The following is a 25,476-nucleotide window of genomic DNA, read 5'->3' as shown; positions in this document are numbered from 1 at the left end:
ACGTAGATAGTCGTGAAAGTTCCCCAGGTGATTCTTTTTCCTTTTTTTTTTTCAGAGCCAGCACACTGGACCCAGCTGATTCTAAGGAGCAGGTGATACTAAGAACCTCTATTCTGCATTATCTATTAGCTCTCTGCATTTCCCGGTCATAACACTTACCAATTCAATTTAATGCAATATTAATTTATTGAGCATCTGCTACGTGTAAAGGATAACTTGGTGAATAATTAGTGAATAAAACATACAGGATCACTATGTTTATAAAGCTTACAGAAGACTAGCGCAGTGAATACTGAGCCAGTTCTTTGTAAATGCAATGAGTATTTAAAGAGGAACATTACAGAGTACAATGTACTCTGTATTCTGTAACCAAAAAAAGGTAGTCTACTGCAGCAGGTTGAGTCATCTTTTGCAATTTTTTTTTCCTTAGGGTCTCACTGTTGCCGAGGCTGAAGTGCAGTAGTATGATCTTGGCTCACTGCAGCCTTGACCTTCTGAGCCTCCTGAGTAGCTGGGACCACAGGCGTGCACACCGTGCTTGGCTAATTTTTGTATTTTTAGTAGAGATGAGGTTTCAGCATGTTGCCCAAGCTGGTCTTGAACTTCTGAACTCAAGCAATCTGCCCACCTCAGCCTCCCAAAGTGCTGGGATTATAGGTGTCAACCACCGTGCCTGGCCCATCTTTTGCAATTCTTGACACCAACCCTATATTAGAATTATACATCTATATCTTTTATCATGTGACTTTGCAGTACTTTCCTACAACAGGCCTTTCCTGCACTATTGACATTGAGCTTGGTCATGGGACTTGCTTTGGCCAATGGAAAGTTAATGGACATCATGGGGCAGAGGCTTCTAATGTATTTGACATTTTGTGCTCTAGCGATCCACCAGGCAGAGAGCATGCTCTGAGAAGCCTGTGCCCCAGAATTAACACACAAGTGTCTTTGACCTGAACCCAACTCACAGTGAGGAACTATGCCCAGAGAAACTTCAGTCTGAAGTAGAACCTCCCACTGGAGCCTAGCCAAGATCAAGCAAAGTATAGAGAACCTGCAGACCCATGGGCATGAGAATGAATGCTTGTAAGCCACTGACATTTGGGATGGTTATATAGCATTACTGTGGCAACAGCTAACTAATACATGAGGCTGGGGCTCAGACCACATTGCATTTGCCTAAATAAGCCATGTTTACTTTATCTTGTTCATCATTGTATTTCTTATTCCTATTACACTGTGTGATATGTAGCAGGTGCAAAAAATGTGTATTGAAGGAATACAAATATGGTTTCTGACCCCAGCGATCTCACAGGATAGTGTATGAGACAGTTCTGTGAACTGTTATAATGTGAAGTGATAAATGCAGTAATAGAAGAGCTATGATAGCATGGAGGTAAGAAGTCTTCAAGTCTGGTGTTACCTACACCAGGGAAAAGTGTCAAAAAAACAAAGCACCCATATTTGAATATAATAAGAGCTACTTATTTTGTCCATCAGAAGTTTTTATTAAACTTGCTGGTATAAGGTGGGCTACTTTGGAAGTCATATAAAAAGACTTATAGTTCCTGCCATGACTTAATAAATTATATGTTCAAACATTTTCAATATATGCACAGAATAACACGAGATATATAGAATCTACATTGCACACAAGAAAAAGGTCAATGGGCTTACAGCTGGGGTCTAGTGAATGAAATTCCAGAGAGTTATAGACTGGAATATGTGTTTATTCTGAAAAGGCACATTGTGGCTTTATAAATCAAAGTGAGAACTCATCAGAAATTGCACAGTGAAGGATAAGGAGTGGGTGAAGATGAAAGTGCAAGATGCACCTACTCCCTGTTTTCAACTGTGCACTATAAATAAACGTCCTCCCCAAATCACCAGTGACCAACAACTGTCTTCCTTCTTCTGACTACTTCACTCAGTCCCTTTCACACATGGCCCTGTGAGAGCTTATGGATTTATAATTTGATCAAGGTTAGAAACGCATTGTCACTCCTAACTAGGTATTGCAGAGAGATATTTAGAAGTGTTGTTTATAGGAAAGAGATTGCAAAATATTTTAAAGAGCTGTGCGTCTCAGTGTTCATTAGTACCAATTTGTTGGCTTCCCATTGGCACCCCTCTGCAGCCTTCTTCTACTGAGTCAGTTACTCCTCTCTATTCTTTGTCTTCCAAAAAATGTATTAAAATCTCTAACTTGCTGAGGTCTCTTCTATTTTTATCTTCCAAAAATACACTGAAATCTTTAATTTGCTGAGATCTCCTCTTGCACTATCTTTTTTTCCTTATGGATTAATGCCCCTTTTCTGGTATTTTAGCAGGGTTTGGGGAAGCAGAAGGCTAAAGTGTGTGTGATCAGTCTGACATTTTTAAAACCAGAAATCTACAACCTTATTCATCATAAGTAAAAATTGGGGACAACGTACATTTGCAAAGACAAGGAAGTTGTTAAATAAGTCAGGTGTATGCCCAGGCTGAAATTACATGTGGGAACTAAAAATATGGCTTTGAAGATTATTTAATGACAAGGTGAAATGCTCAGAATAGAAATTAAGGACAAAAAGTCAGATTGTAGAATTCTCTTTACAGGCTGACCCTAATTCTCTCATTCACATATCAAAATGATAATAGTTGCTAGTACATTTGGATGGTGAGATTATAGCAAATTTATCTTATTTCATTATTTTTTCAATTTAAGATACCAGCTTATTTTGTGTATTGCTTTTATAATTGAAATAATAATACAAAATTCTATGTAAGTCTTTTTTTCATCTAATGTTTTAAAGAGCAAATCCCTCAAATCTTACCAATAGATGCTTTTATCTGTAGGTGACTAAAGCAATCAAAATTTGATTATTTTACTATTCAATTTCCAGATTAATTGATAACATTTTTTAAAGATCCCAAACTCCCAAATTTTAGATGATTAAAAGACTCCAAAGATACCATTTCTTTTGGAACATTTTGCTGTCCCCCACTACTTTCCAGATAATAAGAGAAGATGGTAGGGTTATGGAGATAAAGAAAGGTCTTTATGATTTAGCATTGCTAGCACAAATACACTTTTTCAGCACTCCACCCTTAAGCATTCAGCTATGCACAACTGGGTATGAAAAGCATTCACATTTCATCTATATTAAATGTTGTAAATTACATTCTCAAAAGTCCCTGAGGTGTACCTACCAGTCACACTAATAACTTTCAAACAGCATGACCAAAGCAGGAAGTAGCATCCTTAGATAAGACAGGAGGTTCTGCTTAGAGCCTCACCATGGGACATTTCATTTATTTTGAATGTGTGTGCAATGATTTGTTCATTTCTAGTTTTTCAGATTGCAAGCAAGCCTTCTAGATTATAGAGGTGAGAGTACTAACATTTTCTTCTAGGTTGTTAAGTTTCTTAGCTCAAGTGAGAGGGTACATCTGTAGTCAATTATCTTAAATGTTATGATTGTTCCCTTTTTCAAAGTCTATTGCCCTTGAATAAAAATCCAAGCTCCCTGTTATATTCTTCAAGGTTCTGTATTGCTGACTCTAAAGGTAATGTTAAAGGAATGAACAGGGTGCACAAGGGTCTTGGTGGAATGGTCAGAAATGGCTGCTATAAATGTGAAAGATGAGCACAGTGTGCACGAGAGCACAGGGACTCTTGGCTGTGTGTGGTATGGTGGGGTGGAGTGGGGTGGAGCTTGGCTTTTTCAAGGGATGTAAAGAAAGCCTATGTGACTGTAGCACATGGGGCAAGATGGAAAATCATGCAATATGGGACTGGGGAAGCTGTGGTTTTCAACAATGCTGGTCTTGAGTAACCCAGATCTCTGACTTGGGCATTATTTTCTCCTCCTTAAAGTTTCGATCCAATGTCCTGTGTTCCTAACAGCCAACATGATGTGTCTTCTACCCCAGCATCGTGCCTTTCATTGGACCCTGGAGCCAGGTGAGCAGGAGACACTGAAATGGGCTCCAATCCTAGGACAGAAGCTCTCTACAACAACCTTCTCTGCTAGCCAAATATGGCCTTTGAGTCAGAGTTATTTCTTATAGGACTGCAAGAACACATTGCCCTAGATTTAGACAAGAGAGAAATTTAGAGGTTATCAGAAGGTAACTTAAGACTCATTCCAATACCTTTTAATCCAATTGGTAAGAAATTCGTGTACTTCACAAAACACAGGGTAAATGAGTGTGAGGCATGGGGAAAGAAAAAAATTAATGTCTGTCTTATCTACTTCCATTAGGAAAAACACAGTGTCTAGTATGGCCCATCACCATATCTGTGGAGCCTAGCAGAGTGCCTGGCATATGGCAGGTTTTATAATAATGTGTGTGATGCCAATAAATAAATGGCTTCTTTCAGGGCTGGGGCAGGGAAGGTCCAAGATGAGCCTGGACCATTCTGTTATACCAGAAAGTAAGGAAGTAATCAAAACATTTATGGACATATTGAAAGGATACACAAGCCAGCTTGAAGAGGTTTTCACTGGCCAAATACAGAAGGATTTTAACCATGGATGTAAATAAGGGCATAACTCATTAAAGAAAATAGAAATCTGTGAGTCTATACTGAAAATAATTAGATAGTAAATAAAAATGGGAAAGAAGAGGGCCCTTCCTTACAGGTTAATTTAGACAGATAAATATGGATGGGATAGTGAAGTTGAAAATTAACCATTTTACAATTATTATAGTAAAGATTGATTCAGGCAAGAATCATCAATGGATGCTAAATCTGTGGAGAAGAGTGTGATGAAGAGCAGGATATTTATATGTTCTTAATATGACTACTCCCAGATAGCTTACTAGTTGCAGTGATACATGGCATAACTTAGAATAAATGCAATCTATATACAACATGTGATCTTAGACTGGATTCTGCACTGAAAGTAAAAGCAAATATCATAAAGGACTTTAGTAGAACAATGAACAAAGTTGGAATATAGACTGCTTTGTTAAAAGGTATATATCATTGTTAAATCTCCACAGTTACATAAATGAATAGCCTTATTCTTAGGAAATACACACTGAAATATTAAGGAATAAAAGGGCATGACATATGCAACCTATTCAAAAGAAGTTCAGGAAGGAAATATTATACATAACACACATACACAGAGAAAAGAAAAGGTACAACAAATATTGCAAATGTTAGTGTGTATCTGTGCAAAGGGTGTATGTTCAGTATAATTTTTGTAACTTTTCTGTGAGTTTGAAAGTATTTCAAAATACAGAGTTAAAGAACTAACATGACAAGTACATAAAACAAAACAAAATAAGGTCAGGGAAGGTACAAACTGAGCACTAGTGCTAGTCAAATAATGAGAGGAATTTTGACCAGTGGAAATTAGAGGGCGAAGAAGTCTTTCAGTCGGGGGGAAAATAAATGCAGACAAAAACTGTAGGAACTGAGCTACCAAAGAGGGAAAGCAAAGGCATAAGGGAGAGCAAAGGGTCCTGTTCAACTAAACTGCATAAATTTAGAAAGATAAATCGGCCGGTCACAGAGGCTCATGCCTGTAATCCCAGCACTTTAGGAGGCTGAGGCGGGCGGATCACGAGGTCAAGAGATCGAGACCATCCTGGCCAACATGGTGAAACCCCATCTCTACTAAAAATACAAAAATTAGCTGGGCGCAGTGTCATGTGCCTATAGTTCCAGCTACTGCGGAGGCTGAGGTAGGAGAATCACTTGAACCCTGAAGGCGAGGTTGCAGTGAGCCAAGATCGTGCCACTGCACTCCAGCCTGGCAACAGAGCAAGACTCCATCTCAAAAAAAAAAAAAAAAAGATAAATCAACAGTTGTGATTTGGAGATATGTTGTGAGAGGCTATCTTGAACGTCCAAGGGCAGATTATCAACGCGTGCAAATTCAAACCACCACCTAGGTTGAGCATCCCTAATCCAAAAATCTAAAATCTGAAATCCTCCAAAATCCAAAACTTTTTGAACACTGACTCGATGCCACAAGTGAAAAATTTCACACATGACCTCATGTGATGAGTCACAGACAAAATGCAGTCAAAATTTTGTTTCATGCACAAAATTATTAAAAATATTGTATAGACTGGCCGCAGTGGCTCACGCCTGTAATCCCAGCACTTTGGGAGGCCAAGGCAGGTGGATCCCTTGAGCTCAGGAGTTCGAGACCTGCCTGGGTAACTTGGCAAAACCCCATCTCTACAAAAAAAAAAAAAAAAAAAAAAAATGTCAGGTGCAGTGGCTCACACTTGTAATCCCAGCACTTTGGGAGGCCGAGGCAGGTGGGTCATGAGGTCAGGAGTTCAAGACCAGCCTGACCAATCTGACCAATATGGTGAAACCCCATCTCTACTAAAAATACAAAAATTAGCCAGGCATGGTGGCAGGTGCCTGTAATCCCAGCTACTCGGGAGGCTGAGACAGGAGAATCGCTTGAACCGGGGCGGCAGAGGTTGTAGTGAGCTGAGATTGTGCCACTGCACTCCAGCCTGGGTGACAGAGTGAGACTCTGTCTCAAAAAAAAAAAAAAGAAAAAAAGTATAAAATTACCTTCAGGCTATGTGTATCCGGTATATATATATGAAATTTAAATGAATTTTATGTTTAAACTGATATTCCATCCCCACAATATCTCATTATGTATATGCAATATTCCAAAATTTAAAAAACCCAAAATTTGAAATGCTTCTGGTCCCAATCATTTTAGATAATGGATACTCAGACTGTACTATAAATAATACATCCAGTCTTAATAAGCGATAACATACCATAAGGGTCGAGAGAAAATTTTTTTAAAGTGTGATTTTAGAGAAGAAAATATTATTTCTAGCTCTTTCTAAATCTAAGCAAAAACCAACCAAACAGAAACCCCAAATATGCTGCTCATATATTTACTTATAAAACTAAAACTCAAATATGCTACTCAGAAAAAAAAGGGACAAGTTATTACAGTGAACTTTGGACTCAATTCAAATTCCTTCAGAATTTTTATTTTATACTCCTATTTGTTAAATTGCTGTAAAATTATTTGAAAGAAGGTCTCATTTTCTAATCATTGGCAGCTCTTTCTTTCCTCAAGGTACTTCAGCGTACTCGATCAATCCTTCATTCAGCATTCAAATGAAAAACTGATTCTCATCTCAAAGCTCCCCTCTTTAGCTGGGAGCTACTTTGCTGCATGCAACATGCCCTGGACAGCCAGCTGCTTCAGCTGGCCCTTGTGGGAGCCATCAATTGACCCAGAGAGAGTGTTTCACAAGATCAAAGGCAGATGTAAGGTCAAGGAGGCTAAGGCTGGCACAGAGGCCAGGAGGCTTAGCCCCCGAGGAGGAGGTAATTGGTAGCTCTGTATTTCAATGGAGTGAAGTGGGTAAAAGCCAGATTAGAGAAGGTCAAAGAGAGAATTGAAGGAAAGAAACTTAAGGGCACAGATGCAAACTATTGGGCAAGAAGAATTGCTTAACCAAAAGAACAAGGTTAAGAGGAGAAGTAATCAAAGCCGAAGGAGGCAACAGGGGATGATACCGCACTCTCCCGGGACATAGTTCAGAGTCAGGGCGAGATGAGAGAAAGGAGAATGGCATTACAACCACATGAGGGGGCTGAAAATAAAGGTTATAGAAAAAGCTACCAGTTATGAGACAGAGTTGGGAAAATTGGACCCAGAGAAATTAGATCCTATAGAGTGTAATAAGAAGGGCATTTAAATCCATATGTCAGAGTGGTTAATGGATTAGAAGCTGTGAAAAATACATGTGGGACAAGGATAAAAGAGGAAAGAGTGTTACTAAAGAAAAAGGAACAGAGAGACTTTCAGGAAGAAATATTTTATGTTAAAAGCTGTCACTAAGCCAAAAAAAAAAAAAAAAAAAAAAAAAAGCCCAGTACAACGTTCCTTTATAGGCGCCTATAAGATTTTTTATTAAAGAAATATTTGCTTTATAAAAAGTCTATGTTTAATATACATGTAAAATGTAAAGCATAATAATAAACTACTCATGAACCTATCACCCTACTTAACAAGCAGAACTTTACCAAACACATGCAAAATGGAAGCCACTTCCCCTGACTCCATGCACAGCAATAATATGCATTTATGCATTTGTGCTTATCCTTTCCTAAGATAATTTTTCCACATATGTATATATTCCTAACATTATATTGTTTAGTTTTCCCTCTATTTGACCTTTCTAATTATGGTAGAACAGTACCACTATACTCAGTTTTATATGCTTTTTTGCACCAACGTTTATGTTTTGTATTTGTCAAGACTCTCCACAGAGACAGAGTCAATAGGAGAAAGAGAGAGGGACCAAGAGAAAGAGAGCAAGATAAATTTTAAGGAATTGACTCATGCAACTGTGAGGACTGGCAAGTCTAAAATGTCTAGGCCAGGCCAGCAGGCTGGAAATGAAGACTCAGGCAGGGTTGGATTTCTTTTTTCCTCTTTTTTATTTGTTTTAAATTAACAAATATTGTATATATTCATGGTATACAACACAGTGTTTGGAAAAATGTGTACATTGTGAAATGGCTAAATTGAGTTAATATATATATATCACCACACATACTTATTTGTAATGAGAAAGCTCAAAATCTACTTGCTCAGCAATTTTCACATATTGTTATGAACTTATAGTCACCATGTTGTACAATAGGTCTCATGAAGTTATTCCTCCTGTCTAACTGAAATTTTGTGTTCTTCAACCAACATCCACACAATTCACTGCCCCCACCACCAGGCACTAGTAACTACCATTCCACCCTGCTTCTATGTATTTGACTTTTTAAAATTCCATATATAAGTGAGATCATGTGATATTTGTCTTTCTGTGCCTGGCTTATTTCTCTCAAGCCAATGTTCTCCAGTTTCATCAATGTTGTCACAAATGACAAGATTTCCTTCTTTTTTAAGGCTGACTAGTATTCTATTGTGTTCATATACCACATTTTCTTTATTCATTCATCCGTTGATGGATAATTAGGTTGATTCAATATCTAAGCTATTTTGAATAATGGGGCAATGAACATGGGAGTGAAGATAATCTCTTTGATATACTGATTTCATCTCCTTTGGATGCATACCCATTAGTGGGATTGCTGGATTATATGGTAGCTCTATTTTCAATTTTTTGAGAAATCTCCAAACTGCTTTAATGGCCACACTCATTTACCTTCCCACCAACAGTATACAGGTTTCCCTTTTCTCTACATCCTCACCAACACCTTTTTTCTTTCATCTTTTTGATAACAGCTATTCTAACAAGTGTAAGGTTATATCTCGTTGTGGTTTTAATTTGCATTTCCCTGATGATTACAGATACCACTGAATATTTTTCATATACCTATTGGCCATTCATGTGTCTTTTTTTGAGGAATTTTTATCCAGGTATTTTGCCCATTTAAAAAAATCACATTATCTGACTTCATGCTATTTAGTTGTTTGTGCTCCTTATGTATTTTGGATATTAACCCCTTATTTAATGCATACTTTGCAAATATTTCTCCCATTGCAGAGGTTGTCTCTTTACTCTGGTGAATGTTTCCTTTGTAGTTCAGGAGATTTTTTTAGCTTGATATAATCTCATTTGTCTAGTTTTACTTTTGTTGTTTGTGCTTTTGGAGTCATATTCAGGCAGGATTTCTATGTTGCAGTCTTTAGGAAGAATTTCTTCTTTTGTGAGAAACCTCAATCTTTGCTCTTAAGAGCATCGACTGATTAAATGAGGCCCACCCACATTATGGAGTTGGGGGACTCTGCTTTACATAGTGTCTACTGATTGTAAATGTTAATCTCATATAAAAATAGCTTCACAGAAATATCTAGACTAAGTTTTGACCAAAGATCTGGGCTTTATAGCTTAGCCATGATGACACACAAAATGAACCACCCCATGTTTCTAAGAGTGACCCTTATTGTTGTATGCAGCGCTAGTTTATTTTAGAACACTCACCATTCCATTATTTTAGCATTCTCTTCTCAGTTGACACTCAGATGTTTTCATTTATCAGGTGTTGTGGACCAAGCTGCAATAAATATTCTTGTACATGTCCCTTGTGCACATATGCAAGAGTTCATAGGCTATGTTAGAATTGCTAGTTCATCGGCTATGTTAATTAAACTTTAAAAGAGTGTAGGCTGGGTATGGTGGCTCACGCCTGTAACCCCAGCACTTTGGTAGGCCGATGTGGGCAGATTGCCTTAGCTCAGGAGTTTGACACCAACCTGACCAGCCTGGGCAATACGGTGAAACCCCGTCTCTACTAAAAATAGAAAAAATTAGCCAGGGGTGGTGACGTGCACCTGTTAGTCCCAGCTACTCAGGAGGCTGAGGCAGGAGAATCGCTTGAACCCGGGAGGTGGAGGTTGCAGTGAGCCAAGATCGCCACTGCACACCAGTCTGGGAGAAAGAGAGAGACTCTGTCTCAAAAAAAAAAAAAGTAAAAACTGTTTGCTAAGTGATTGTATCAACTTCTTTCAAAATATTTTAATAAATAGAGTTGTAGTTTTCAATTTTTGAGTTCCAAAAATAGGTTTAGGTACATGAAAAGAGTTCATTTATTTTGACAATTTGACCCTTCTCTACTTTTTCACTCCCTTTGCACTTTTATATTTACCCCAGGTGATTTAGAAGCAGGAATCAGAAGTGAGGCAAGATTTTTAAGGAGCTTTTCGTAAAGACATTGTAAGCTACTCCTTCATGCAGCAAATATTTATTGAGCATCTGCTATGTACCTAGCACTGTGCTAGGCATTAGATAGGGTATATAATGATTTATCACAACTCATACCTGCCTTCAGAACTAAGCAGACAGAAGTGTAAATAGGTAAATAATTACTAACAGTGTAAAGTAAGTATAGGATTCCATGTTTGCACACAGGAGGGGTACCTATTTATAACCTTGAGGATTGAAAGGCATTCCATAAGATAATTTAACCACTTATTCTAACTATAATATATAAGCATGGTTAGATATGGGTAGGTATATGCATAAGTAGATGTGTGGCATTACATCTAATCAATATTTGAATTGTTATGTGGTATCTATTGGAGTTTGTACTAAGTCTACCTCCCTGGAGTTGTACACTATAGAACTTCTCACATGTACACAGATGGTTAATTTTATGTGTCAACTTGATTGGGCTAAGAGATGCCCAGATAGTAAAACGTAATGTCTGTGGTATGTCCATAAGTATGTTTTCAGAAGAAAGCATTTGTATCAGTAGACTGAGTAAAGATTGCCCCTACCAATGTGGATGGGCATAATCCAATCCACTGAGGGCCTAAACAGAATAAAAAGGAAGAATAAGAGTGCATTTTCTCTCTCTGTTTAAGCTAATTGGACTGGGACTTGGCACCATCATCCCCAGACTTGGACTGAATTACATCACCAGCTTTGCTAGTTCTCCAGATGGCAAGTTATGGGGTGCTCAGCCACCATAATCGTGTGAGAGAATTCTTGCAATACATTCCCGTGTGTGTGTGTGTGTGTGTGTGTGTGTATGTGTGTGGGTGTGTCTGTGTATCTCCTATTGGTTCTATTCTCTGGAGAACCATGACTAATGCAAGAGAAGTTCAGTAGAACAGTTTTTCAGCTATCTGCAGCAAGAAAGCACCATCCTTAAACTGGGAGTTGGGACCCCAAATCCTTTAGGTCATGTCAAAGCCATCTCTGAACTCACCTTATGGACAATTGGCTTTATTTCTTTCAGCATTATACCAAAGTAGCTTGAGAAGTGAAATTTTCTTAATCCTGACATGAGCCTAACTTGAACCGAGAGTCTAGAAAGAATGTGGAGAGACATTTCTTCGTTCCCTCCCAGTGATGACGCAAGGTAAAGCCCTCATGGACTAAACCCTTTTCATCTGCTTGAAGTTGTGGGATGTCATTCACATAAATTTACCAGATGATACAGGTTATTTGTAAACAATACATTTCTTAGAATAGTAAGCATTTATTTTTAAGATAGTAGCTGGTTTTTAGCCTATTGTTTCTCTGCTGCATATTTGTTAACAAGTATTTGTATTAAGAATGTAAGATCTTTCCTTTGCATAATTCATTTTCTGTAACTACTCTTCATAATCAGGTCTTTGCAGTCTGTAATAAGTGTCTTTATGGGAATGCATGACTATAAAAATAGGCTAAAATCCAATACACAGAAACAGTGAGCTTCAGACCAGCTACCAGGAAGATTTATTTTAGCAATATCACTCTATGTGAGGCTGCTGTCTGGTACTTTTTATCCGGCTTACAACATTTTATCTCCTTATGTTGGCCAGAGTTAGTCCTAAGAGTAGGATTCATCTTTAGGAAACCTTAAGTGTCAATAAGCTATACTGGTCTTGTAGAAGACTCCAGCCCCATCTATTCTGAAGAGTATGCCACTTCATTCCAGTAATCTAACAGTTTCTTTAGTTTCTACACTTCATCTGTCCCTGCTGTCAATTTGTCTGTCTTCCTTCTCCTAGTCACACTAGGTATCATAGTACTTACAACGGTACTATAGAAGGCAGGGAGTAGGGAGGGCACAGAGCTGAAAGCAGGCCATTAAATGAAACTCCACCAATATTTAGAATCATCAGTGATCTCCCACTGTCCCACTGCCAGGAGTATGATGTGTATTCACAAAGTTCCCTCGCCTCCAGCAGGGAATTAGATAATTTTTGGAGAAATATAACACTTCTAGAGTTGGGATCCCCAGATTGTAACATTTGCTCTCTCACCAAGCCTTGTTTACTTCAGAGCTAAACATCTTCCAAATTCGCTCATCGGTGGACAAATCATGGCCATGCATGCCACACTTCCACTGATAGACGAGTCAGAATCATGAACACTGAGCTTCCAATCAGCAGCTTTGGAATTGCCAGCCTTAAATGTGAATGTACAGCCAAAGAACACTGTATATTTCAGCAAGTCATCCACCATTAAAGGAAAAAACAAACAAACAAACAAATAAAAAAGGACCCATAAAAAACAGAGATGATGAAGAAGAAAACAAAAATCTATATTTAATATCTTCAGAGCAATAAAAGATACTACATCTATAAAACAAACACAGGTGCTATAAAAAGAAATAATCAAGGGATTAGAAAGAGCCCTTAAGAATGAGAAATATGGTAGTAACATAAACAATTCAATAAAAGGATTGGAGGATGAAGTTGAGGAACTCTGAGAAAATAGAACAAAAACAGAATACGGAGGAAAGAGAAGGATATTAGAGCAATCTAAAAAGTTCAACATCAGGTTAATAAGAGAGAAATCAAAAACAAAGATGAGGAAATTATAAAAGAAATAAAGGTTTTTCCAGACATACAAATAGTGAAAGAAAAAAAGAGAAGGATCTCCCTTGTTCCTCTTTTTGGGAAGCTGCTGGAAGTTGTGCTTAAGCAAACTAGGGAGTAAACAAAGATAAAGACCAAGAAAAATGGATATTCATGTAACACAAGAGAAGGAAGAAAGGGAAGTCCTAGGAAGTTCTTGGGAGGGAGGACTGACTATATGATCTATTTAAACATCCGCAAACATTAGGAAAATATTAGAGATAATTACATAGAAATAACAACTATTAACTTAAAACATTGTACTGGAAAGGAAATCATGTAATCACAGCACAGTTCTTGGATTAATGCAATATTTACACAGCTATAATGATATTAAATGAAGGTTGTGATATAACAAAATTGGGAGCAGGAAAGGACAGAAAGTAAAGATGAGTGGGGTTGATGATGAGGGGAGAGTGGATATCTTGGCCCCAATAATAATATCAAGATAGTGGGTCTAAAACTGGCAAAACAAAAAGCAGCAAGGTAAGCATATTATTTAAAAATATGGAGTTACATATTAGAAGAAACATCAAAGAGTGGAGGGAGGTGGAATCTGATGAATGGGCTTATGGGAATGGGGAACCTTGAGTCAGGGCTGCTATGTTCACTAGAGGCTTATGCTGTATTGTAAGCCTTATAACCTATTTTATGTTTCAAACATGCACATGTGTTCCATTCATAGAAATAAAAATTAATGTAATTCTTATATATAAATTGCTGAGCATAGCTCTGATTTTTTCCCTTAGGATTAATTACTGGAAATGGAATTACTGGGTCAAAGGATTTGATCATTTTTGCAGCCATTTATGTGTATATATAACTCAGTTTTCTCCAAAGCTCACTGGTGGTACAGAGAATGCCCATTTCCTCACATCCCCATCAATATGGGGTATCCACTTTTAAAAAGTCTTTGCCTGTTTGGGCAACCTACAGAATGGGAGAAAATTTTTGCAATCTACACATCTGACAAAGGGCTAATATCCAGAATCTACAAAGAACTTAAACAAATTTACAAGAAAAAAATCAAACAACCCCATCAAAAAGTGGGCAAAGGATATGAATAGACAATTCTCAAAAGAAGACATTCATGCAGCCAACAGACACATGAAAAAATGCTCATCATCACTGGCCACCAGAGAAATGCAAATCAAAACCACAATGAGATACCATCTCACACCAGTTAGAATGGCAATCATTAAAAAGTCAGGAAACAACAGGTGCTGGAGAGGATGTGGAGAAATAGGAACACTTTTACACTGTTGGTGGGACTGTAAACTAGTTCAACCATTGTGGAAGACAGTGTGGAGATTCCTCAGGGATCTAGAACTAGAAACACCATTTGACCCAGCCATCCCATTACTGGGTATATACCAAAGGATTATAAATCATGCTGCTATAAAGACACATGCACACGTATGTTTATTGTGGCACTATTCACAATAGCAAAGACTTGGAACCAACCCAAATGTCCATCAGTGATAGACTGGATTAAGAAAATGTGGCACTTATACACCATGGAATACTATGCAGCCATAAAAAATGATGAGTTCATGTCCTTTGTAGGGACATGGATGAAGCTGGAAACCATCATTCTCAGCAAACTATCGCAAGGACGGAAGACCAAACACTGCATGCTCTCACTCATAGGTGGGAATTGAACAATGAGAACACTTGGAAACAGGGCGGGGAACATCACACACTGAGGCCTGTCATGGGGTGGGGAGATAGGGGAAGGGGGATAGATAGCATTAGGAGAAATACCTAATGTAAATGATGAGTGAATGGGTGCAGCAAACCAACATGTCACATGTATACATATGTAACAAACCTGCGTGTTGTGCACATGTACCCTAGAACTTAAAGTATAATTAAAAAAAAAAAAGTCTTTGCCTGTTTGATGAGTAAAAACTGTTTTTTCAATTAGTTTAAAACATATTCAACTCCTCCATATTCTGCACTGCCCTGGTTAACAGGTTTCAGATCATTATATATATACACATATAAAAAATACTTATTTTAATATAAATGAAATCTTACAGCCCATGTCGTTTTGCAAATTGCTTTCTACACTTAAGAATATGTCTTGGGATTGTAGCCACCCAGGGCTGAAGCTGGCATTTTCCCAGAGCCTGTTAATAATTTTGATTTGGGTTTTAAGTACCTGTAGATTTTTCTTTACTAGATGTGTTGATCCAAAAGCAGCATGTTTCACTTAAAAGTGCATTACTAAACCCAATAAAAAGTTCCAGCAGACTTAGTGATAGCAAAACTTTCATGCTTCCTTTTTGTTAGTGACTATTATCCCTGCTATAAGGATAATAATTAAGCAAAATATACAGCAATGAACACTCTGTGTCCAATATTTCAGTTAGAAGGTGCTACCGTGTATAACCCTATTGCAAATAGCAGAGTGAGAATAGCGATTCCCACAAGTGTGGTATAGTAGATAATTTCCATCTAAAATTTTACTTGCTAAGATATAAAATTTCCCTTTGGGGGTCTATGAAGTTTCTTGGTTTTATTTTCCCAAACAAATTTCTGGGTTATGGGCATCCTACTTACTTTCATTACCTGACATAATTTGCAGGTTAATTGCCCAGAACTAGCATATTGATTTAAAGTTTTGCGTCACCCATCCCCTTTTCTTTTGTCCAAGCTGCAGGAGATCACCGCTTGATTCACAGAGATAAGCAGGGTTGGTCTAAAATGTAGGCGAAAAGCCTGAAAACAATTCGTGAAACTAGGAATTAATGACAAATATATGATAAGCTTTGGAGCAAAATTCTTCTCTCCAGTTTTCATTTTTGGTTAAAAACTAATTATGAATAAACTTTATACTTGGCCTGATTATTTGCATAAAGTGCAGCAAGAATGGTTATTTCTATATAGGCTTCTCAAAACAAAACAAAACAAAAAGTCTTTGATGTCTCCTGGCCAAGTATTGCCATTATGCATTTTAAACAATGTGTTGTGGTCAACCCACAGAGGTGGGGTGGACCCCTAACTCAAATTTGGTTGAGATGAAATCATACATGCACCAAGAATGTGCAAAGGTTTATTACTCATAGAATGAGACTCTCTGTGGAGAGCAAGGAAAGCTCCAAAGCTGGTCTGAAAACAGCTTGAGAAGGCAGAGAAAGGAGATTTTTATAGTGATTAGTGAGGTGTGGCCAGGGTGAGGGTTCTGTGCATGGACAGTGGCTTCTGTTATTTGGACTTGTTTTTGATGCCAAAAGGGAGACCACCTGGGCTGTCTTAAGAGCGTGCTCAGATGTGGGGCAGAGAGGAAGGAGGACTAGTAGGGCTTAAAAGCTGTCGGCATTCAATCCTCAAAAATGGAGTCTGACTCTTCATTAACAGTGTTTGCTATTCCTTGAGTGCTTAGTTACACGGATCCTCTTTATTTTTGGAAAATATTCCTTACAATTTAGAAAGACTGGACAGAGCAGAGTGACATACTAAGGCAGTGAATGTGTGTTTCTTGTTGGTTTAGTAACCTCCCATGCATGATGGCTGTGCTCCTGATGGCAAATAAATGGCAGTGACAAGCCACCGTCAAGCCGGCACACACAGCAGCATCCAGCACCATCCAGAGTCTCCATCTGGAGAGGCCGATGCCCTCTCGCTCTTCTGGCTCTGGTCTCATTTTATTGCTTTGTGCAAACCAACCCACCTCATTCTTGAGAGTCCGCATTGCCAGCCTGGTTGTGCCCTAGTTTTTGAATGTGACCTTGTGTTGCTTCAGGCCTGCCTCCCATATGCCTCTGAAGGGCTTTCTCTGTCTCTTTTCTAAAAGTGAGTTATATTCTGCTTTGGTCCCAGGAGGAGCACTCATCTTTGGTCTTCTCCCCTCAGTGCTCTGTAGGCACAGAGATTAAAGGTGGAAGGAGGCCTAATATTTTTCTAATCTCAGAACCACAGGATCGACTATTGCCTGCTCAGCAAGTGTGAAGGGCTAAGCGAGGGTAACCAGAAGGCATGCTGACTGAGGTCTAATCACTGATTTTTGGGTAAAAGCTTAAAAACGGTCTGTTGATAGTACATAATAGCCAGAACAATTATTCTCTCCCTTATAAAGAATTCTAATTAATGTGGAAATGTAAAAGAAAAGCCTAGGCTTAGAACAGAAGGTCTAAGGCAACAAGACCTCAGTTCTCCCAGCAGCATTTAGAGCACTAGTAAGTGTTTAGGCCCAATTTCACATTTCAGATCAAGCAGATTAAAGCACGTAGTTTTTTCCACCTGGCATAATCCTAGCCTATGGAAGCCACAGTTAATTATTTCCCTGAACCCAGAGGGTGTTCCACAAAAGAATCTCTTTTATCCTGGCAAACTGAAGTCATATTGTGGCCAGCATTTTCAAAGCTGGCAGACCAAGGTTTGGCCTGCTCTGGGTGAAAATGTCTTTGTTTATTATTATTAATTAATTAATTAATTTATTTATTTATTGCTGTTGCAAGATTTAATAGAGTGAAAACAGAGCTCCCATACAAGGGAGGGGATCCAAAGAAGGTGGCCATTGCCAGCTTGAATGCCTGGGTGTATATCCCGATCATTGTCCCTCGTGCGGTGCTCTCAGGCAATAGATGATTGGCTATTTCTTTACCTCCTGTTTTTGCCTAATTAGCATTTTAGTGAGCTCTCTTTCCTACCTGATTGGTCGGGTCTGAGCTAAGTTGCAAGCATGACAAGCGCTATTGTTCCCTCAGCCTCTAGCACTTTCTGGGCCACGTTTTGTCTTTGCATCATGAATCTCTCAATTGCATTTGTGCCTTTTGTACTTCTGGGTGACTTTGCACTTGGAAGAGCTTGTGGGTACGTGGAGGTAAAGGAGGGAGAGGTTCACGATTGTACATGTTGAGGATACATCAGGCAAAGGTTCACAGTGGGTCTTCTCTGGCTATGTTTGGTCAAGCATTTTGGAAATCTGAATTGCTAACAAACTGAGGGGTAAGGATTTGGACACTCACTAATGACAAAATTGGGGAGTCCCTCAGGATACAAAAAATTATAACCCTAAGCAAACCAAGAAGTGAATATTGGGCATCTGCTCTACCCAGGATGCTGTGACAGTTATTAGGGGACATTCAAAGCAAAGCTGATAAAATAGCAGATAGTGTTTCTCAAGGAAGGCTTATAAGGCAGAGCTTCTGCCATTGACTTTCTGTTATCAAACCACAGGCACCAATTTTGTCATCCATAAATGATGTACATTTGCTCAGTTACTTCTCCTTTAGGTAAGTATTTGGAGACAGGTATGAATCTACTAATTATTACAGTTTCTTCTGGGAGATCTAAAGTCATAAATACCATCGAATAAGATAAGGTATATCAATCATAGCATGGTGGTGAGAACACAGTGCTCACATAACTGTTGTTATCGTCTACTTAAAGGTATATGTGGTATCCTTTGTCCTTCACCCATTTACATTTTCCTTTTCCACCCATTTCTCTCTTGCCTTCCCTTCCTCTGACCTTGATATTTTTGGCCATCTTTCTACAGAGATGCTGTCTCTCTTCCATGGGGCTCTAAGCTTGTGACAGTAGGGTTTGTGTTTCTGTGTTCTTTCTACTCTTATTGATTTATGCAGCATAGGGGCTTGCTGTGGATTGACTTAAACACACCAGAAAGTGTCTTGTAACTATAACGTCTTCTTATCCCAAGAGGGCGTTACCTCTCAATGGGAATTGCCCACCCCATTATATATTTACTCAGTTTAAAGCAGAGCAGGACCTGCTTAGCTTAGAACCCCTAAGTGCCACCATAATCACCTTGTCCAGCACAGCACACACAAGGTTTGAAGGTGGGGTAAAGGGGAGGGAGGCATAAGTGTTGCCAGATGCTCAGATGCTCACTGTATGTCTTCTCCTGTACTTCGTGGACTTCAGAACTTACTACAACATTCTTGAGGAAGCTTTGTAGCAAAATGATGGGATGATGACGACTTGTTTGGGAGCTTTTCTGCTGCTGTCTGAACTCAGGGAAGCTTTTCTAAAACGGACTTTCTGGCTAAAGGATCAACCACCTTTTGGCCATACATGCCCAGAGAAAACCTTAGGCAAGAGTATTTAAGATAGACACAGAAGTTTTCTTGCCTTTTCTGAGTGAGAAGGGGTTAAAAAAGGAAAACACTCAATGGAGATAAAATTCTTCTCCAGAGATGGTAACACTGGTCATTGGTCATTCATGGTTTCTAGTGTGTGTGTATTAGTCATCTGCTCCAATGCTCTTCATCAGAGCCTTGTCTCTTATTTCCCAGTCTATTATAAGCACTCACTTCTGCCCCTCCAAAGCTTGTTTCCTATCCAGACCTTCAGATTCCAGGTACTCACTATTGTTCTCAACCATGTCCAATGTCCCTTCTTGTCATTGCATTCTGTCAGTTACCTCCATCAAATATGATCTGTCCCCTGTCCCACCCATTTAGGCCCTGATTTCCAACTTGTTATTCATGCTGAAGGATTCCTTGGACAATTTCAGGTGATAGCCCCTGTTGTATAATACATGATTTCCATTTTAACAATATTCTCCTAGGAATGCAACGGTGTAAATTTAGAGAAAGACATACAATGGTGAGGTTTTCAGGCATAAAGCCAGACTAGAGGCAATGATCTGTTTGGGTGGAGAAGGAAACAAAGTTCTACTCTTTGGTATTGCATTTCTCACGCAGGAGCAAAGCTTCAGGCTTTACTTGTGACTCTCAATGACCCTTATTGACATGTGCATGACCCAAACTATCCCTGGCTTTGGTGTCAGGAAATTTGAGCTTCAGTTCCAGTCTACTGCCCTAGAACTGTGATTTTTAGGACAGTCTGGGTCTGAGTTTCTCATTTGTTAAATGAACGTAGAGAATAGAGAATCTGTAAAATTATTTTCAGCTATGATTCTATGACTTTCTGATACCAGGCTTTATAGCACTTGATGTAAACATGACAGTAGCAGATAATCAAATGGTACTTAGAAAGGAAGGTTGACTGAGTATGGAATACCACTGTGAATCTGGTGATCTTGCCTGCTCTGTGTTAAAGACAACTATGGAGGCAATACTTCCTTAAGCAGCTCTAATTTGTGTAGAACTTCTATTGCCGAAGTAGAAAAACTCAACCAACGCTTTCAATTAAGTTAAATGACTTCATGTTCTGTTAAGTTCAGGCTGGCTAGGAATTTCCTAACTTTAACTGACTTCATTACAATAATGGTTAGCATTAGGTTCACATAGGTGATGTCTACTTGATAGTATTTTCATAATTGTACAGCTATCATCAAATTATGTTGATTTATAGCTGGATGAAAAATGACAGTGAATAGCATAATTGTGAAATTTCACAAGGCACTGACATTTGTCTTTAAAGCAGAAAAATTCAGCAAGTACGACTACTGCAATGGAAGTGCAATTGTAAAGACTTCATGGAAAGTTCACGGATTCAAATGTAATTAAGCATGAATTAAACATGATGAGCTACAGGGCTGATTCTAGCACTGCTGAAGCTCCATTATGGAAATCCGCTTCAGAAATATGACCAGCTCTTTTTTAACATATGTCAGATGCCTAACATATGGTCTCCTAAGGCCTCCAGCATACCTTGGGTGATCCAGGGCAGTCAACGTCTGTTTGGCACTGTTGAAGGTCTAGTTTATTGAGCCAAGAAGCTAGGAAACATAATGGGAAATCAGCCCATGCTTGTCAGAATCTCACTTCTTCTCCTTTAGAACAAGTATTATAAATTCAAAGAAAAATTTGAGCCCTTGTAGTGCGGTGTTCTGACTTTTCACGCTGGTGCAACAAACAATAAATCATGAATGTAGGCTAATGCCTATTTACAATTAATTTTTCAAAGATAATAACAAACTAAAGGGACAAATTTTATAAGCCACAGCCACAAACAAAATCAATTGCTTGACAACTCTCTCTCTCTCTATATATATATATATATTTTTTTTGAGACAGAGTCTTGCTCTGTCACCAGGCTGGAGTGCAGTGGTGTGATCTCAGCTCACGGCAATCTCTGCCTCCTGGGTTCAAGCAATTCTCCTGCCTCAGCCTCCCGAGTAGCTGGGACCACAGGCAAGCACCACCATGCCCAGCTAATTTTTGTACCTTTAGTAGAGACGGGATTTCACCATTTGGCCAGAATGGTCTCGATCTCTTGACCTCGTGATCCGCCCACCTTGGCCTCCCAAAGTGCTGGGATTACAGTCGTGAGCCACTGCGCCCGGCCGACAACTCTATATCTTGTATATGTTGTGGGACACAGATAACCTCGAGAAGAGCTTCCTGTAATATTGTCTTTCATCTCCGACCTCCCTTGCATCCCAATCCTTCAACCTCAAAAGGAAAGAGCAAAAAGCTAGGAGACTGAAAGGCAGAAATTCAGGAACAAATCTTCCATTGATTGCTGTGGCAAAGTTGATCTGCTTCATTTGGTGTAGTTTTTCTGTATGTAAAATTAAGATAATTACATTACAGAGGCTGGGTACGGTGACTCACGCCTGTAATCCCACCACTTTGGGAGGCCGAGGTGCGTGGATTGCGAGGTCAGGAGTTCAAGACCAGCCTGGCCAAGATGGTGAAACCCCGTCTCTACTAAAAACATAAAAATTAGCCAGGCACGGTGGCTGGTGCCTGTAATCCCAGCTACTTGGGAGGCTGAGGCAGGAGAATTGCTTGAACCTGGGAAGCGGAGGTTGCAGTGAGCCAAGATCACGCCACTGCACTCCAGCCTGGGCAACAGAGTGAGACTCCGTCTCCAAAAAAAAAAAAAAAAAAAAAAACGATAATTATATTGCCTTGCCCATGTCACAGGGATCCTAAATGAAGGTGATGTGATAAATGCAAAAGTCGTTCGTGTATATGTATACATTTGTTTATATATGTATATGTGAACATATCTATCTATCTATCTATCTATCTATCTATCTACCTAATCTCCCTAAATAGAAGATATACTAATACATACTAAGAGTTGCCTCTGTCCTCTGGTCATATCCCCACTGGAGTATGGGAGCTGATAATCATAATGACAATAATAACAACAGTAATGATGATCATTTGTCATACTTACCCCGGGCTAGGCACTAGCACCATATGTTTATATAGACAAGTAAATTGTATGAACATCTTTTCTGAATCCTAGAACAATAAGGAGTAAGAAGAATAAAAATGTCTAAAATGTAATAGCTAGTCTCTCTTTTAAAAAATAATGTGCTTTTGGCCAGGCGTGGTGGCTCACACCTGTAATCCCAGCACTTTGGGAGGCCGAGGTGGGCGGATCACAAAGTCAGGAGATGGAGACCATCCTGGCTAACATGGTGAAACTCCGTCTCTACTAAAAATACAAAAACAAAATTAGCCGGGCGTGGTGGCGAGTGCCCGTAGCCCCAGCTACTCGGGAGGCTGAGGCAGGAGAATGGCGTGAACCCGGAAGGCAGAGCTTGCAGTGAGCCGAGATCGCGCCACTGCACTCCAGCCTGGAAGCCTGGACAACAGAGCGAGACTCCATCTCAAAAAAAAAAAAAAAAAAAAAAAAAAAAAGGGCTTTTCTGGCCATAATTATTGAAGTAAAATAGGTTTCTTCATTATTGGCAGTGGTTTGTGGTCTTTGTGTCGAATGAAAGTAGTGGCTGTATCCTGCCCCAGTGAAAGATTTGGGGAAACGGTATTTTGCCATTTTATCTCATGGTTTTACTCAAGCGTTTTCTCCTTTAGCCCTTTATTGTTTTTTTCCCCCAAATCTGGGTATACCAGAGTGACCCCTTTAGAGCTGAAAGAAATAAGTTTGGAATGTGAGAAACTCACTCTCCACAAATGTTAGAGGGAGCTAATAACGTAAATAGCTTGTCAGCCTGGTTTAGATAAATAACAATGACAGATCATTAATGGAAGTTCAGGCATGTCTTGGAGGTTGATGTGAAAGAGCACAGAGACGTACTTTTGCAGCATAAATTTCAGTGCCTCTGACAGAGACAAGGTCTGCCACCTGTGATTCTGCAAGATGACTGTATTTTCATGTAAAACCCTCCTTAAGGTTACCAGGTTCTAGAAATTTCTCTCGTCAAACTTATGTCATATAGGTGGGTTAGAGAAGAGACACTGTTGATCAGCATCTTCATTGTCATCATTTGATCATTTTTTCATCATTAATTACCCGGGGAACATCAGTTATAACTTGAGTTTCCACTAAGTGCAATATAGTTCTTATCCTATATGTATTGATGCTCAAAGATTTCAGACAGAAAAAGCAAAGATCTTATCACCCATTACCCAGGCAGCATGAGTTAGAACATGTTTCTAATTCACTGAGTGAAATACAGTTCATCTTATCCTGTATGTGTCTATTCTAAAAGATCTCAAAAAAATTAAAAAGCGAAGAAGGAAATGCTAACAAATCATTCCCAATAGAGGTAAAAATAAGAAACAGACAAAGAAATCTCATGGTTAATGTACTCTTTATCCCAAATTGCTCTGCCTACTTACATGTGGGTTGTAGAAATCAGAAATTCAATCTTTAAACCACTGAAGGCCTTAACTGATATCATGTCAACCATTTCTTCCCAAGTAAACTGGAATCTGAAGTCTGCTGGGCCCACACTTGGTTTTCTGGGCACCTTCTTAACACTGGGATGCAAATCACCAAATCCTCTGCTGAGCATCTCAGTTATTTATTTACTGAACATTAGTGAGTTTTTAGTAGAAGATTACATAATTTTTTGAGCACTCTTTTGTATGGAACCCTCTTCTAAACCTTTTACATATAACGAACTCACAAAAACATTATGCAATAAGTATTATCAACTTACCTATAATATACTGATTATGAGGGGAAGTAATGGTGTTCTTCAGATTGGGAATCATTTATGTGATATGCTAGAAGTTTTGTTATTTTCCCCAAAGTTTGTCTTTTACAAAATAAAAGCAGAGAACTCTGGAGGACAAATTTAAGACAAGAGTATAGCAGAGGTGATGAGGTAAATTAGGAGTGGAATCCCTTACTACAATTCAGGAAAGTAATGATGAGCGCCCTAACTGTAGCAATGAAAGTGAAGATAGACTTGAGTAGAGCTGTTAAGACGTATTTAAGAGGAAAAATCAATAGTATTTGGTGAACAACTGTGTGTGAAGGGCAAATGATAGGCAAGATTCTAGACTGACTCTCAAGCTCTGGGTTTGGGTGACTGAGGGCGAACTGAGTAGTTATCAGAGACTGAAAACAATAAAATAAGGAATTTTTGTGAGGAAGCACATGAGTTCAATTTGGGATGTGATGAGTTGGAGATCGTTCTGGGATTTCCAAATAGAAACAATTAATAGACTCTTTGCACAGAGTAGCCTGGAGCTCAGGAGATCAGGGTCGGCTCTTTGAAAGTCCTCTGTATATATGTGGTTGGTGACAGCTGGTCTGGGTGAGATTTTATAAGTAGTAAGGGTACTGTGAGAAGAGAAAGGGAGAAGAAGAGATATCGGTGAGAGAGTCTATGAAGCGATAGAGAATAAGAATAAGATAGAAGAGACTGGTGTCACAAGAGGCAACAAAGGAAAGTGGACAACTGTGTTAAATGCAGTGAGTGAAACATAGAAAAGAGTCCATTGGTTTCCATCATGAGCAGGCAGTTGTTGACTTGGTGAGGGCTGCTTCAGTTGTGCCAGGTGAATAGGAGGTGACAAAGGAGACATTTTTGAGTATAGAAGAGCCTTTTAAGTCACTTGGGAAAATAGGGAAGGAAAGAGGTAAAGGAATAAATTCTTTTCTTTTTTTAATGTGGAAAAGTAGCTAAGAGTTGGTGCAAGAGAGAAGCTGAAGATAGAGGAAAGGAAAGGAGGATGTAATTGATGGAGCAAGTTTGCTGAGGACTTGGACAGGGTGTAATTCAGAGTGCACGTGAAGAGCTTAACTTTGAGAAGAGTCACCTCTTTTTCTGAGGTTCAAAGGAAGAAGGCTGGGTGTGGTGGCTCACACCTGTAATCCCAGCACTTTGGGAGACTGAGGCGGGCGGATCACGAGGTCAGGAGATCGAGACCATCCTGGCTAACATGGTGAAACCCTGTCTCTACTAAAAATACAAAAACAAAATTAGCCATATGTGGTGGCGGGCGCCTGTGGTCCCAGCTACTCGGGAGGCTGAGGCAGGCGAATGGCATGTACCTGGGAGGTGAAGCTTGCAGTAAGC

The 25,476-nt window shown here is 39.1% G+C and overlaps 1 long non-coding RNA gene across 1 annotated transcript in view; it reads left to right on the top strand.

The window, feature by feature from the left end:
- LOC107984625 (uncharacterized) overlaps positions 1-25,476 on the top strand; it is a 98,066-nt gene that overhangs the window by 56,692 nt on the left and 15,898 nt on the right. The window contains exons 2-4 of the long non-coding RNA XR_001749886.2: positions 56-92; positions 3,860-3,946; positions 11,699-11,821. This is a non-coding gene — a long non-coding RNA (uncharacterized LOC107984625). The remainder of the gene's footprint in view (positions 1-55; positions 93-3,859; positions 3,947-11,698; positions 11,822-25,476) is intronic.

This window comes from Homo sapiens, chromosome 13 (genome assembly GCF_000001405.40).
Source record: "Homo sapiens chromosome 13, GRCh38.p14 Primary Assembly".
Lineage (NCBI taxonomy): Eukaryota > Metazoa > Chordata > Mammalia > Primates > Hominidae > Homo > Homo sapiens.
Note: the sequence above shows the minus strand (reverse complement) of the source record. Positions and strands in the feature narration are given on the sequence as shown.